The sequence below is a fragment of the Homo sapiens genome, chromosome 1 (genome assembly GCF_000001405.40).
Source record: "Homo sapiens chromosome 1, GRCh38.p14 Primary Assembly".
NCBI classification, from domain to species: Eukaryota; Metazoa; Chordata; class Mammalia; order Primates; family Hominidae; genus Homo; species Homo sapiens.
This window is the reverse complement of record NC_000001.11, coordinates 66,815,528-66,831,799: the sequence shown is the minus strand read 5'-3', so window position 1 is coordinate 66,831,799 and position 16,272 is coordinate 66,815,528. Positions and strand designations below refer to the sequence as shown.

The window sequence follows — 16,272 nt, the reverse complement described above, 5'->3', positions numbered from 1 at the left end:
TTTATTTCTCTTTCTTGTACGATTGCACTGGTTACAACCTCCAGTACAGTGATGAGTAAAGATGATGAAAGCATGCATTCCTGTATTGTTCCTGATCTTAGAGGAAAAGTATTTAGCCTTTTACTATTAGGTATGGTGTCAGATGAAGGCTTTTTGTAGACAGAATTAATCAGATTGAGGGAGTTCCATTACATTCCTAGTTTGTTGGGTGGTTCTTATTTGGAATGGATGTTGGATTTTGTTAAACACTTTTCCGTATGTATAAAGATGATCATATAGTTTTTCTTTTCAAGTTTGTTAATCTGGTGAAGTAGATTGATTTTTTGAATGTTTATCCCTGGAATAAACTTTATTTGATTGTTGTTTACTACCCTTTTAATATACGAATACATTTGATATACTGAAATTTTGTTTAGAATTTTTGAATCTTTGGTTAGAAGAGAGATTGATCTATAGTTTTCTTGTGACATCTTTGACTTTACTATCAGGGTAATCATGCCTGCGTAGAATTCCTTTTAGAAAGAATTTTCATAAAATTAGTATGATTTCTTCATTATATACTTAATAGAATTAGCCATCTGGGCCTGGAGTTTTCTTTGTGGGGAGATTTTTAATTTTTAACTACAAAATCAAATTTTAATATATATAGGGTTATTATGGTTATCTATTGCTTCTTGAGTGAGCTTTGGTAATTTCTGTCTTTTAAGGAATTTGTCTATTTTATTGAAGTTGTGGAATCTATTGACATAATACTCCCTTAGCATCCTTTAACAGTTGTGGAATATATAGTAATCTCACCTCTAATTTTTTTTTTTTTTTTTTTGTGACAGAGTCTCACTCTGTCATCTAGGCTGGAGTGCAGTGGTATGATTATAGCTCACTGTAACTCTGAACTCCTGGGCTCAAGCTATCCTCCCACGTCAGCCTCCTAAACAACTGGGATTACAGCCACACACCACCATGCCTAGCTAATTTATTATTTTATTTATTTTATTTTATTTATTTATTTATTTTTTTTTGAGACAGGGTCTCACCCTATAGTCCAGGTTGGAGTGCAGTGGAGTGATCTTGGCTCACTGCAACCTCCGCCTCCTGGGTTCAAGCAATTCTCCCACCTCAGTCTCCTGAGTAGTTGGGATTACGGGTGTGCACCACCACACCCAGCTACTTTTTTGAATTTTTTTTAGTAGGGACAGGGTTTCACCATATTGGCCAGGCTGGTCTCAAACTCCTGACCTCAAGTGATCCTTCTGCCTTGGCCTCCCAAAATGCTGGGATTACAGGCTTCGGCCACCGCGCCTGGCCTAATTTATTTTTATTTTTGTAGTGATGTAGTCTTGCTATGGTGTCCAGGCTGGTGTCAAACTCCTGGGCTCAAGTGATCCTCCTGCCCTGGCCTCCCAAAGTGCTGGGGTTATAGGCATAAACCATGACACCACTCTGTGATTCCTAATATTAGTAATTTGTGTCTTCTCTTTTTTCCTGATTAGTCTGACTTATGTTTATCAATTCTATTGAACTCAAAGAGATGGCTTTTGACTTAATTGGTTTTCACTATTTTTTTTTTGTTTTCTTTATCATCAATTTCCACTTTGATCCTTATTATTTCTTTTCTTTACTTTGGTTTTAATTTGTTCTTGTTTTTCTAATTTTTTAGAATGAAAGTGGAGGTCATTGATTTATGACTTTTTTCTTTTCTAATGTAGTTATTTCTGCTGTAATTTTTCCCTAAGTATTGCTTTAGCAGCATCCCAAAAATTCTGATATGTTACATTTTCATTTTCATTCTGTTCAAATTACCAGTTTCACCCTTGATTTCTTCTTTGATGGGTGGGTTATTTAGAAGCATGTTATTTAGTTTCCAGATATTTGGGGATTTTCCAAAGTTCTTTCTGTTACCAATTTCTAATTCAATCCCACCATAATTAGAGAAAATACTTTTTATAAACTGAACTCCGTGAATTTATTAAGATTTGTTATAAAGCCCAGTATGTGGTCTATATTGGTAAATATTCCCTGTATACTTGAGAAAAATATGTATTATGCTTTTCTTGGTTAGAATATTCTATAAATGTCATTCAGGTTAAATTGGCTGATAATGTTGTTCAAGATTACTTCTCTTTGCTGATTTTCTTCCTACTTCTTTCAATTATTGAGAAAGAGGTAATAAAGTCTCCAACCATAATTGTAGATTTGTCTATTTTTCCTTGTAATTCTATCAGTTTTGCTTTGTGTATCTTGATGCTTTCTTATTAGGTACATACATATATTTAGCATTATTATGTCCTATTGATCAATTAACTCCTTTATCACTATGAAATGGCCCTATTTATAACTTGTGATTTTTTTTACTCTGAAATCTACTTAGCATGATATTAGTATAGCCACTTCAGCTTACTTTTAACTGGTGTTAGCCTGGTTTGTCATTTTTTATGCTTTTTCTTTTAACCTATTTGTCTCTTTATACTTAAATTTTTTTGTAGGTAGCATATAATTGGGTCTCACCTTTTTATACAATCTTAAAATCACTGCCTTTTAATTATGCTGCTAAGATCATTTACATTTAGTTTGATTATTAGTATGGTTAGGTTTGAGTCTAACATCTTGCTTGAAGGGGGCATATATAAAATATCTGGCCTCCTTATCTTGAGACAGGACTCTGAAGGGCCATCTTCTCTCCAGAGCTTCTTATACTTTGGACTAAGCCCTTGATTGCAACTGCGTCACGGCTCAACTGAAATATCTGCCCATTCCTGTTTCCCACATAGAGGTTGTTCCTGAGAGCACTCCCTAACACTCTGGCATGAAATCTCAGAGTTTATTTGCTGGGAAACCCAACTTTCAACAGTGACCTTGAAGATCGCTAGCGAAAAATGACCACTTATAAATGGTGTTAGAATAATAAGTATCCATATTAAAAAAGGAATTCGATTTCTATCCTATCATACACAAAAACCTTTCAGAAGAAAATGTAGGAAAATATCTCTAGGACCTTAAGGTAGGGAAAGATTTCTTAAAGCACAAAAAATGCTAAATATAACAGAAAATGAAAACTTATGTTCATCGAAGACAGTAAAAAGAAAATAAAAAGGTAAATCATACACTGAGAGAAGATATTTATAACATGTTATAGACAAAGCAATAGATTCTAGAATATATAAAGAACTTATACAAATGAAAAATAACAAGACGTATTATTACTAAAATTATCGGGACACAAAATAAGAGGAAACACAAGTGGCCAAGGAACGTAAAGTGCTCCACCTTATTGATATTCACATAATTAGGAATTAAAAACAGGTGATATAATTTTACATCTAATAGAATGGCAACATTTAATATTTCTGATGTAACTAACTGTTGAAGAGAATGTGAGTCAGATCACTTTTATATACGACTGTCTGGGAATATGTATTGGTAATACCAATTTGGGAGAAATTATACTTTATCATATAATTTATTTTTTTCTTTTTTCAATATCATGTAGTTTGAAAGTGTATATCTGTCTTTTCTTGGAATAGTTGTAATGAAAGAGCACTTACTATTTCCCTGGACTGCTAGTTCCATTGTCAGGTAGCTCTAAATGTTAGAAAGTTTCTTATTTATTTTAAGCCAGTGTTTTTCTATGTAATTTCCATACAGGATATTAAATGCTACCCCGATTCCAGCAAAGGACCAATTTATATTTTCTTTTGCACAGTAGTCTCTCAGGTAGTTTGATTATTACAAAATCATGACAAAAGAAAAAGACAAGATTGGTATATTCAAGATAGTGTTTTTATTTTGGGTTCTTGAATTGATTTTAATAGATCCAGAAATATCTAATCTTCTATTTATCACACTTACTAATGTATCACAAGCCAATGCATTTCGATGTTTTGTGTTGTAGGACACAAATATCTATTTGGCTGGCACTGAAGAAGGTCATATTCACAAATGTTCTTGTTCATATAATGAACAATACTTAGATACCTACAGAGGACATAAGGTTAGTTTAATTATAGTAGGTTGGAACATTTATTTTGTATTTCTGAAAAAACAGTACCATTATATACAGAATATGTAATATGCAATAAATTTACAACTTCAGAGTTAAAAATACCATCTTGAATTAAGTGTTTTCTTCTATGGAAACCACCAATAATGTACGGGGCATTTTATTTGACTTCTAGATATCCTTGATTTCTTCTTGAAAGTTTGGAAGTTTTGTTTCTAAAAGACTTTGCTTATGATAACATGCTGATCCTAAAGTAAAATTGTCTTTCACCCATACCTAGTCTCTATAGCTTATTTTTTTTAATGTTTTTTTTAAGAGATGGGTCTCACTGTTACCCAGGCTGACCTTGAACTTCCACTTTATCTTCCACTTGATCTTCCCACTTTAGCCTCTAAAGCAGCTGGGACTACAGGCAAACACCACTGCACCTGGCTATATATCTTGTCATGATTGTTTCAGCCACATTTTCTTCATTTTCTCCCTCATTTCTTTTTTTTCTTAATACTCTTTATTTTTTCAAAGTATGCATAATATGTGTTAAATTTAGTGAATATTGTAGCAACTATATTTTTATGTTTCTAAATGTAATAATTTAGGGAAGATTCAATCTGTGATCTTATTCTCAACTAAAATAATGCCCACACAATAATGAATAGTGTGAAAATCTAGAAATCTTAGCATTTTTAATTTGCTGGTCAAGTTTAAAATAAAAGATGTTAAATATTATTTACCTATGTATTTTTTTTTTATTTCTAGGGTCCAGTGTATAAAGTGACATGGAATCCATTTTGTCATGATGTATTTTTAAGCTGTTCTGCAGATTGGGGTGTTATTATATGGCAACAGGAGAATGTCAAGCCATCTTTGAGTTTTTATCCAGCTACTTCTGTTGTTTACGACGTTGCCTGGTCTCCAAAATCATCCTATATATTTGCAGCTGCAAATGAGAACAGGGTGGAGATTTGGGACCTTCATATCAGCACGTAAGTTACTATTTTTCTTGCATAAATTTTAGTAGAAGCAGTTCAAACTAAGTGATACCTGATAGTTTTGACACCAGTTAGAGGGTATTGTAGTTACTTTAAAAGAAGTAATAGTTTATGAGAGTCCTTTATGAATAAAGATAATGCCAGGATGCTATATTAATGTCAATTATTTATACCATATGTGGTTTTAAAAGTATTTGAATGAAAGTAGTTTACCTTGGCTGGGCGCAGTGGCTCACACCTGTAATCCTGGTACTTTGGGAGGCTGAGGCGGGAGGATCACTTGAGGTCAAGAGTTCAAGACCAGCCTGGCCAACATGGCAAAACCCCATCTCTACCAAAATACAAAAACTAGCCAGGTGTGGTGGCATGCACCTGTAGTTCCAGCTACTTGGAAGCCTGAAACAGGAGAATCATTTCAACCCAAGAGGCAGAGGTTGCAGTGAGCCAAGATTGCGCCAGTGTACTCCAACCTGGGCAACACAGTGAGACTCTGTCTCAAAAAAAAAAGACTAAAGAAAGTGGTTTACCTTACTCATCTCCTCAAACTTTTATAGGACGATATAGGATATAATAGCTATCTTGAGTTCTTATTCATTGCCTGGTTTAGAGAAACATACACAGGCATTTTTACATTTTTAACTAAAAATTTTCTACAGTAGAAAAAAGGGACAAAGTAATTATTTTTGCAACATTTACTTATGCTCTTACCTTGTTTCAAAAATATTCAGAGGGGTATGAACTTAATTAAAATTTTTGATTTAAGATATTACACCAAAGTTATTAGAGGATTGTCTAAATTAATTTATTCTTCCTAATATGAAAACTTAATACAATGTTGAAATAAAAACGTTAATGGTTCTGCTTTTTCAGTTGGAAATTATAATATATCTTTATGCTAGTTTTTAGCAAAAGCAAGAAAATAAATTCTTGTTTGAAAGAAATGATGTCAAATTCAATGGATTTATTCTTTATGAGAAAATTTTTTGCTAGGAATTGATAATTCAGTAACTTTAAAATTTTGTCCTGGTTTGTTTTACAAAACAGTATGAACCAAGGATTACAAATCAAGGATTACAAGTATGAGGTGACTAATGTATAAAGTGGCTTCTTAAATAATCCCACCTCTGATTGTAATTTTTCTGGAAAAACTGTAATTCCCAGGACAACACATTTTTAAAAGAAGTATGCAAACTTGCTACTTGTCTTCTTTTGAGGACACTAGGTAGATTGCTTTAGATGACGAAGACTAGGAAAACTTCTTGTTCAAAATGTACTTGTACGTTCCAGAGGTTCATTTGGATAAAAACATTATTCTGTTAAAAGACAGTTATTAGGCCGTGCGCGGTGGCTCACGCCTGTAATCCCAGCACTTTGGGAGGCCGAGGCGGGTGGATCATGAGGTCAGGAGATCGAGACCATCCTGGCTAACAAGGTGAAACCCCGTCTCTACTAAAAATACAAAAAAAATTAGCCGGGCGCGGTGGCGGGCGCCTGTAGTCCCAGCTACTCGGGAGGCTGAGGCAGGAGAATGGCGTGAACCCGGGAAGCGGAGCTTGCAGTGAGCCGAGATTGCGCCACTGCAGTCCGCAGTCCCGCCTGGGCGACAGAGCGAGACTCCGTCTCAAAAAAAAAAAAAAAAAAAAAAAAGACAGTTATTATTTAAGAAGTTGTGTTAGGGATCTCCAGAGAAACAGAACCAATAAGATGTATGTATCTACTTAGATCTATTGTTGTCTCTGTCTCTATATATTCCTATCTTTATATCTATCTCTTGAGAGAGACATTTATTTTAAGGAGTGGGTCCTATCAAGTATGAAATCTGCAGTGCAGGCTGGCGGGCTGGAATTTCCAGCAGGAGTCATGTTGCAATCTTGAGTAGAAAGGCATTCTGCAGGTAGAATTTTATTCCACTTTGGTGGATATCATTCTTTTCTTTTAAGGCCTTCAACTAATTGTATGAAGCCTACCCACATTATGGAGGGTAATCAGCTTTATTCAAATTCTAGTGAATTATCCTTAAGCTGATAAGCAACTTCAGCAAACTCTCAGGATACAAAATCAATGTACAAAAATCACAAGCATTCTTATACACCAACAACAGACAAACAGAGAGCCAAATCATGAGTGAATTCCCATTCACAATTGCTTCAAAGAGAATAAAATACCTAGGAATCCAACTTACAAGGGATGTGAAGGACCTCTTCAAGGAGAACTACAAACCACTGCTCAAGGAAATAAAAGAGGATACAAACAAATGGAAGAACATTCCATGCTCATGGGTAGGAAGAATCAATATCGAGAAAATGGCCATACTGCCCAAGGTAATTTACAGATTCAATGCCATCCCCATCAAGCTACCAATGACTTTCTTCACAGAATTGGAAAAACTACTTTAAAGTTCGTATGGAACCAAAAAAGAGCCCGCATCGCCAAGTCAATCCTAAGCCAAAAGAACAAAGCTGGAGGCATCACACTACTTGACTTCAAACTATACTACAAGGCTACAGTAACCAAAACAGCATGGTACTGCTACCAAAACAGAGATATAGATCAATGGAACAGAACAGAGCCCTCAGAAATAATGCCGCATATCTACAACTATCTGATCTTTGACAAACCTGAGAAAAACAAGCAATGGGGAAAGGATTCCCTATTTAATAAATGGTGCTGGGAAAACTGGCTAGCCATATGTAGAAAGCTGAAACTGGATCCCTTCCTTACACCTTATACAAAAATCAATTCAAGATGGATTAAAGACTTAAACGTTAGACCTAAAACCATAAAAACCCTAGAAGAAAACCTAGGCATTACCATTCAGGACATAGGCATGGGCAAGGACTTCATGTCTAAAACACCAAAAGCAATGGCAACTAAAGACAAAATTGACAAATGGGATCTAATTAAACTAAAGAGCTTCTGCACAGCAAAAGAAACTACCATCAGAGTGAACAGACAACCTACAAAATGGGAGAAAATTTTCACAACCTACTCATCTGACAAAGGGCTAATATCCGGAATCTACAATGAACTCAAACAAATTTACAAGAAAAAAACAAACAACCCCATCAAAAAGTGGGCGAAGGACATGAACAGACACTTCTCAAAAGAAGACATTTATGCAGCCAAAAAACACATGAAAAAATGCTCATCATCACTGGCCATCAGAGAAATGCAAATCAAAACCACAATGAGATACCATCTCACACCAGTTAGAATGGCAGTCATTAAAAAGTCAGGAAACAACAGGTGCTGGAGAGGATGTGGAGAAATAGGAACACTTTTACACTGTTGGTGGGACTGTAAACTAGTTCAACCATTGTGGAAGTCAGTGTGGCGATTCCTCAGGGATCTAGAACTAGAAATACCATTTGACCCAGCCATCCCATTACTGGGTATATACCTAAAGGACTATAAATCATGTTGCTATAAAGACACATGCACACGCATGTTTATTGCGGCATTATTCACAATAGCAAAGACTTGGAACCAACCCAAATGTCCAACGACGATAGACTGGATTAAGAAAATGTGGCACATATACACCATGGAATACTATGCAGCCATAAAAAATGATGAGTTCATGTCCTTTGTAGGGACATGGATGAAATTGGAAATCATCATTCTCAGCAAACTATCGCAAGAACAAAAAACCAAACACCGCATATTGTCACTCGTAGGTGGGAACTGAACAATGAGAACACATGGACACGGGAAGGGGAACATCACACTCTGGGGACTGTTGTGGGGTGGGGGGAGTGGGGAGGGATAGCATTGGGAGATACACTTAATGCTAGATGACGAGTTAGTGGGTGCAGCGCACCAGCATGGCACAGGTATACCTATGTAACAAACCTGCACATTGTGCACATGTACCCTAAAACTTAAAATATAATAATAATAAATAAATAAATAACAAAAAAAACAAATTCTAGTGAATTAAATGTTATTGTATTTGAAAAAAATATCTTTACAATAGACTGATGTTTGACCAAACCTCTGGGTACCATAGCCTAGCTAAGTGGACACACAAAATTAACCATCACAGAAGTTTAAATTTATGAGTTCACATCTTAATTGTGAAGTACTTTAATTTACCTGGTTGAAATTAGTTCATTGAAGAAATGAAGGTTTTGATTGAGTAAGGAGTGAGGAGCAGTTATTTTGAGTTTGGAAACACTTAAATAGGCTTATGGTTTTTGTTACATTTAATTTAAAAAATGTCAAATTTTTCTTTGTCTATTTAAAAGACCATATTAATATAACAATTGAATTTACAAATAAAATATTTCATTACAGTTTGGACCCTCTGATTGTGAATACTGCTAACCCTGGAATCAAGTTCACAACCATTCTCTTTGCCAAACAAACAGATTGCCTTCTGGTAGGAGACAGTGATGGACAGGTTTCTGTGTATGAACTGAGAAATATGCCTACTGTTTTGGAAACTGGCCGGGTAAGACTCAAGAGTAAAAAAATTTGTGTCATTTTATTAGTCTATTCAGTTATACTTTTGTAGCATGCAAAGGATTTACATTTCTCAATATCTTAGGTGTAATATAATAAAAGAACATAAATTCCAGGAGTTGCTAACTTCTATACATGGTGCCTACTAGGGTTATTTTTTTTTTTTCAGCCTCGTCTTATTTATCTGTAAAAGATAATGAGAATAATAATGTTGGTGAGCAAAATAATTGTAAATATTATATGGGATAACCTAAAATTGTGCCTAGTATGTAATTGGGACTTAATAATTCTTAAAGATATTCAAAGAAGTTTACATCATGTATTAAAAGATTGTTACATAAAATAATTCTATTTTTAGATATTTTCCAATGTTCCTGAAATGGGCATTTATTTCTGTTGGATTAGCATTATCATATTCTCTTATTCCACGTTCTTCAAATACCCAAGTTTTGTGTCGAACTTTGACAGACAACTCAGTGTCAATAGATGCCTATTATTTAAAAAAAGTTTTCAATTTAAAATTTTCATTTTTTCTCTATTTCTTATGTTTAGATTGTTATTATAAACAATAATCTGGTAAATATTAGCACAAATATGATAAATATGTTAAAATATTAAAAATATGCACAAATCAATATGAAAAAACACCAAGACTTAAATAAAAAAATGGGCAATGGTCAGGAACAGGTCATTCACAAAAAATGACTAGTAAATATGTTTTAAAATCCAACCTCACTAATAATTTAAAAGATAAAATATTATTAAATTCTAATAGCATTCTCACATATCAGATTTACAAGGTTTATTTAAAAATAATTTTTTAATAAGACTACTCTGTACTGGCAAACATTTGATGAGTCCTCTCATACTGGTGGTTGGAATAGAAATCGGTATAACTTTTTGGAAGCAATTTGACAATCTGAATCAAGACTGTTAGAAATGTTTAGAGAAGGCTGGGCACGGTGGCTTATACCTGTAATCCCAGCACTTTTGGAGACCGAGGCAGGTGCATCACTTGAGGTCAGGAGTTCAAGAGCAGCCTGGCCAATATGGTGAAACTCTGTCTCTACTAAAAATACAAAAATTAGCTGGGTGTAGTGGCGGGTGCCTGTAGTCCCAGGTACTCAGGAGGCTGAGGCACGAGAATCGTTTGAACCTGGGAGAGGGAGGTTGCAGTAAGCTGAGATGGCGCCACTGCACTCCAGCCTGGGCAACAGAGCAAACTTCTGACTCAAAAAAAAAAAAAAAAAAAAAAAAAGAGAAATGTTTAGAGAATATTGATTCCTTTTAACTAGTAATTCCACTTCTGAGACTAGCCTATAGAAATGTTTATAAATTTAATAAAATAAATTAACTATAGCATTACTCATGAGATGATAAGAAAAGAAAAGGAAAAGGAAAACAGAACAACATAAATATCCAACAAGAAGGAAATGTGGCCAGGGAAATCAGATGATTGATTAGATCTGGGTCACATGTAGGAGGTAGAGTTCTGTCCCAACCATACAGACTACAAATGTTAAATAAGTAAATAAATAAAATAATAAAATGCTTATCATTTCCCCAGCCTAAAATTCACAGGGCTTATTTCTTTACTTACTTCAAATCTTTGCTCAAGTGTCACTTTCTCAGTGAAGTCTTTACTGATCATCTTATTTAAAATTGCAACCTCTACTATCTTTCACATTCCCTATTCAATACTCTTTCATGACTTATTGTTTAAATAACATTTACCACCTTTGAATATACATAAACTTGCTTATGCATTTTATATTTATTTATATATAAATTTATGTATGCATTATAACATAATTTATTTATATATTTTGTTAATTGCCTGTGTCCCACACCTAGAATGTTAACTCTATGAAAACAGTGTTTTTTGTCTCTTTTTTCTGGGTTGTATTGCCATGGGCTAGTATAGTGTCTGGCTTATAGTAGTTATTCAATAAATGCTTGTTGAATAAATATGCATTGAAAAACTAGAGAAAAAATTAACATGCTTTGTATTACAATTATTAGTTATTAGTGGTGGAGTCATGGATAAATTTTAGTTTTTCTTTTTACTTACCTGTTTTCCATATCATCTGTATTTTTTTTTGCAAAATGCATTGGTTTTCTTACATAGTAATTTTAGTCTACTCTGAGGAATGTAATCCTAATGGCTTTTTCATGATATTAAACATGTTTTCATTTCTCACACATTTATTGAGTATCAGATATTTTAACAGGAACTGGGATATTTATCTCCACATTGAAACTTGCCTAAGATACACAACTCAATGACCAAAAGAAATTAAAAGAAAATTCCATTCTTATTCAAATGTCTTAAAATGTTTAAGTGAATCCAAATACATAGTTTATAGTAATCTTTTTTTCTTCTTTTGTCCATAAGCCTCCAATTCTAAATGTAGCCTCAAAGCCTAAATTCATCTTTTTTAAAAAAAAAGTCTCTATGATTCTCTTAGTCCATCTCACATGAGCTCTAAGAACTTGCCCACAAACTCTGAATTTGCGGTGGTTGGGAGTGGGAATTGAGTGGTTTGAGTTGTTTGAAAATTTTTGTTATTGTGTGTTGGAGATAGTGGTGGAAGAGAAATCTGTGAGTATTGACATGTTGATTCTTTTCTTTTCATCAAATGTATATACGTATTTGTGTGTGTATATTATATATATATATAAAACCTGTCAAGTGTGACAATAATCTATCAATATAAGTTGCAGTATTTCGTACACTTATTTTTCTTACTAGTATGAGCCCCTTGGAAACATATATGTAAGTGTCTAGCGCAGTACTAGCACATAATGGGCATTCAGTGAATACTGAATGACTATCTGAATGAACAAACACACAAGCAAAAGACATGGTTTCTAAGAAAGGGACAATAGATATTCAAGAAACTATAATCAAGTCATAAAGAACAGAAATAATGAACTACTATAGAATCACAGAGCAGGAGAATAATTGACTTTTGGAAGGTGAATGGGAAGAGGAAAAGGAAAATAAGAGAATGCTTTTGTGAAGGTTTTCACAAAGGAGATTAAATTTCAGCTATGCTTGGAGGTTTAGGATTTTTCCTTGCAGATAAGGAAAAATTGGAATTGTTATTCCTGACTGAGGGAAAATCTCGAGCAAAGATAAGGAATTGGAAAGGCTCATGTCATCTTAAGGAACTAATAAGTTGACTTTTTTGACTGGTAAGGAAGTTGCTTGAGAGAAAAGTGGCAAAGGGGCCAGTATAAGAGTAATTTAATAATTTATATACTGGTAATAGAAATTAAAATAGCCTCTTCAGAAAGCAATGAAATAAAATGGAAAATTCAAATACCATGCAAGCCATAGAGAATCACATCTTACACATGTACAATAGGAGACATGTATAAGGAAGTATCAATGTGAGGTGTTTTTAACAATTTATTTCTTATTTCTTTTTTTGAGATGGAGTCTCACTCTTGTCGCCCAGGCTGGAATGCAGTGGCACGATCTTGGCTCACTGCAACCTCTGCCTCCCAGGTTCAAGCAATTCTACTGCCTCAGCCTCCTCAGTAGCTGTGATTACAGGCACCCACCACCACGCCTGGCTAATTTTTGTACTTTTTTAGTAGAGACAGGGTTTCGCCATGGCTGGTCTCGAACTCCTGACCTCAGGTGATCCGCCCACCTCGGCCTCCCAAAGTGCTGGGATTACAGGCGTGAGCCACCGCACCTGGCCAATTTATTTCTTATTTCTAATGTTCTCTACAGTAGCCTTTATATGTACAAAAGATTACTCAGTCTACTTTGATTTTAAAAATTCATATTCAAATGATATAAGATTTACAAAAAACGAACAGTTCATCTTAAGTTCTTACATTTAGATTATATATTTTGTTATTCTCTTTTTAAGTCTAGCAGATTTTAATACATGCTAAGTGAGTTTTTGCAATTTAATTAAATTTTCTTAAATATTTTAAATCTCATTTATAAATTTAATATATTGGACTTTTAAGTACTTCAATTTTCTTATGGACAAACAAGTCTCAGATACTTAAGGAATTCTTAGTAATTTCATAAATTAAAAATTTTAAATGTGATGAATACTATATTTTCTTAAATATTCCAATGCTGTTTACAAATTAGTAAGATTTCAATCCATGATTGTAAGTCTAAATCAATTACCAAAATTACACATTTATATAAGAAGCAAATGTTTCTGTTAGACATTCCAATATGGCAAATTCTCATATATATAATGAATATTTAAAATATTAAAAATATATACATTCCTTAATGCCAAAAATACTAAAGTTATCTGTTTCATTTGCTGCATCATTTTTTACACAGTGTTTATTCTTCTCAGGGTAAAAAAGATTAACATTATAAGTAGTTTTGAAGATTATTTTCACAACTAGCCAAGATGCATCTTGACTTAAGATTTTAGCCAGGGAATGAAGCCTGACATTGTGAACATTTAAGGGGATTTACCTAATTACCTTAGCTGCCAGCCTGAGCCCTGTTTTACTGTTGATTTGTCAATGCTCCAGTGCATTTGTCTCCCAGTCCATGTCTCCTAAATTGTAGTTACACATTACCTAAGTCCTCCATCATCTCACAGAAGTCTGCAACCTTGCCCATGTTGCTGGATCACTTGATTGACTTCAATTCATTGATTTACTGTATCATTAAATTCTAAATTATTACAGTTTTCCTATGCAGTAGGATTACAACTTTTGTAGATGTTTAAATGCCATCTGATTAGATGAGATTCTATCCGTTTTTTTTTTTCTTTTTTTCTTTTAGAAAAGGTCTCACTCTTTTGCCTAGGCTGGAGTGTAGTGGCCTGATCTTGGCTCACTGCAGCCTCAAACTCTTGGGATCAAGCAATTGTCCCACCTCAGCCTCCCAAGTAGCTGGGACTACAGGTGCATACCATAATGCCCAACTAATTTTTGTATATTTTGTAGAGATGGGGTTTTGCCGTGTTATCCAGACTCATCTCGAACTCCTGGACTCAAGTGATTTGCCCACCTAAGCGTCCTCAAGTGCTGGGATTACAGGCATGAGCCACCAGGCCTAGCCCAGATTCTGTACATCTTTAGGGCTTTGTTCAACTCATGGGTAATGGTGTGAAAAACATGCTAATGAGAAAACAATGTTTATAGTAGCCTTGTTTGTATACTGACAAATTGAAAACAACCCAAATGATGATCAGTGGAAGACTGGATAGATAAAATATGACATTTTCACATGTGTAATTACAGTACAGAGATTTAAATGACCTATATCTTAATGTGTTAATATGACAAATTTTGAATACATTTAAAAAACAGTGTTGAGTGATAAAAGCAAATTTCCACAAAGTAAGTACAATATGTTATAATATATGTAAGTATTATTTAAACACAAAAATAAAAACATATTTTTAGTAGACACATTTATAGTTGGTAAAAGTATAAAATATAGACTGGAATATAGAAGAAAAATACTTAATTTTTGTGTTTGGATTTGAATTGGTTATGCAATCTTTTAATTTGAACAGTATGCTCTACAAGCAGAAAGCTAAGCTTAGAGAATCTGAACATTTTTGGCAAACCTGTGTGTGTGTGTGTGTGTGTGTGTGTGTGTGTGTGTGTGTGTGTGTGATTTCAAGGCTGGTAAGAATAATTTTCTTAACAAATCAATTTCATATTGTTAGTAAATAAATATAATTTTTGGATACAAATATGTTTTTCATGTTTTTGGTCACTATATTTGAAAGGCTTAGGGTTATATTTTTTGGGAGATTAAACAACAACAAAAAACCATTAATTAGTTTTTTTGTTACTTACAGCCAAATGTTAATGATATACCTTTTCTTTCTTCGCTTATGGAGAATTATAGTCATAATAATAATTTGAAGTTTCAAAGTAATGTCAAAAACATTATTTCCTACCAAGATATCTTGTCAAGTAACATTATGACCTATAATTTTTTCATTAATTTTAACCAAGAGTGAATCAAAATTTTGGAAGCCTTATGATTTCATTCTATATGAAAGATGTGCACCAAATTTATGATAAAGGCTGCCCCCGGGACGTGAGGGAAAGGGAAGAACAGTATTAGGAGGTATACAAAGGAAACTATCTTTTATCAGTGCCTTTCAGGACTCTGGTTAGTATCACTTTTTCTAATTGCTACTTTTAATTTTTTTAACTTTTAATCTTTAAAATTTATTTTAATTTTTTGTACAGACAGGGACTTGTTAATGTTGCCCGGGCTGGTCATAAACCCCTGGCCTCAAGTAATCTTCATATCTTGGCCTTCCAAAGCACTGGTGTTACAGGTGTGAGCCACCATGCCTGGCCCTCTGGAGGTATTAAGTGACATGATTTCTGAAACTCTGGCCCCTTCCCGATGACAGCAAGGACCAGAATACTTTTGTGGTAGGATATGGCCAAAGGTTGGCTCCAGCCCTGTCCTACCAGCTTAGGGTTCATGGTTAGGGGTAACACCAGCCTAACGTCTGGCATGAACAGGAGACTGGGATCCAAGGCTTCCAATTGTAACTTTATGATGTAGCTAACTGTTGGCAGGAGTTACCACTGCATTAACATTCATGACTGGGGAGGCACCAGCTCTTCTACTGGCATGATGAGGATTGCTGGTGGTCTATGTCTTGAGCTGTAGAGAATTATGGTTTAAGCCCTTGGGAGAAGTCAGTTTCAATGGAGAGTTACAGAAGCAACTCCTTTTCTGCAGGCAGCCTGTAGAGAATCACTCCTGGATACTATTTTTACTATTATGGTTCATTATACAAATGTTTACCATGTTTTTCTCTGTGTTCTTGCTGTTTACATTTTTCC

The 16,272-nt window shown here is 34.3% G+C and overlaps 1 protein-coding gene across 11 annotated transcripts in view; it reads left to right on the top strand.

Annotated features, from left to right (window-relative positions):
* The window catches only part of DNAI4 (dynein axonemal intermediate chain 4), a 111,972-nt gene that overhangs the window by 93,057 nt on the left and 2,643 nt on the right, over nucleotides 1-16,272 (top strand). For 7 of the 11 annotated variants that reach the window (XM_047430752.1, XM_005271212.4, XM_011542161.3 and 4 more), the window contains 3 exons: nucleotides 3,890-3,988; nucleotides 4,754-4,980; nucleotides 9,283-9,439. In XM_047430752.1, the coding sequence (XP_047286708.1) occupies nucleotides 3,890-3,988; nucleotides 4,754-4,980; nucleotides 9,283-9,439 (483 nt within the window). The remainder of the gene's footprint in view (nucleotides 1-3,889; nucleotides 3,989-4,753; nucleotides 4,981-9,282; nucleotides 9,440-16,272) is intronic. The other 4 variants (XM_017002354.2, XM_017002353.2, XM_047430731.1 and 1 more) reach the window with 1 other exon arrangement.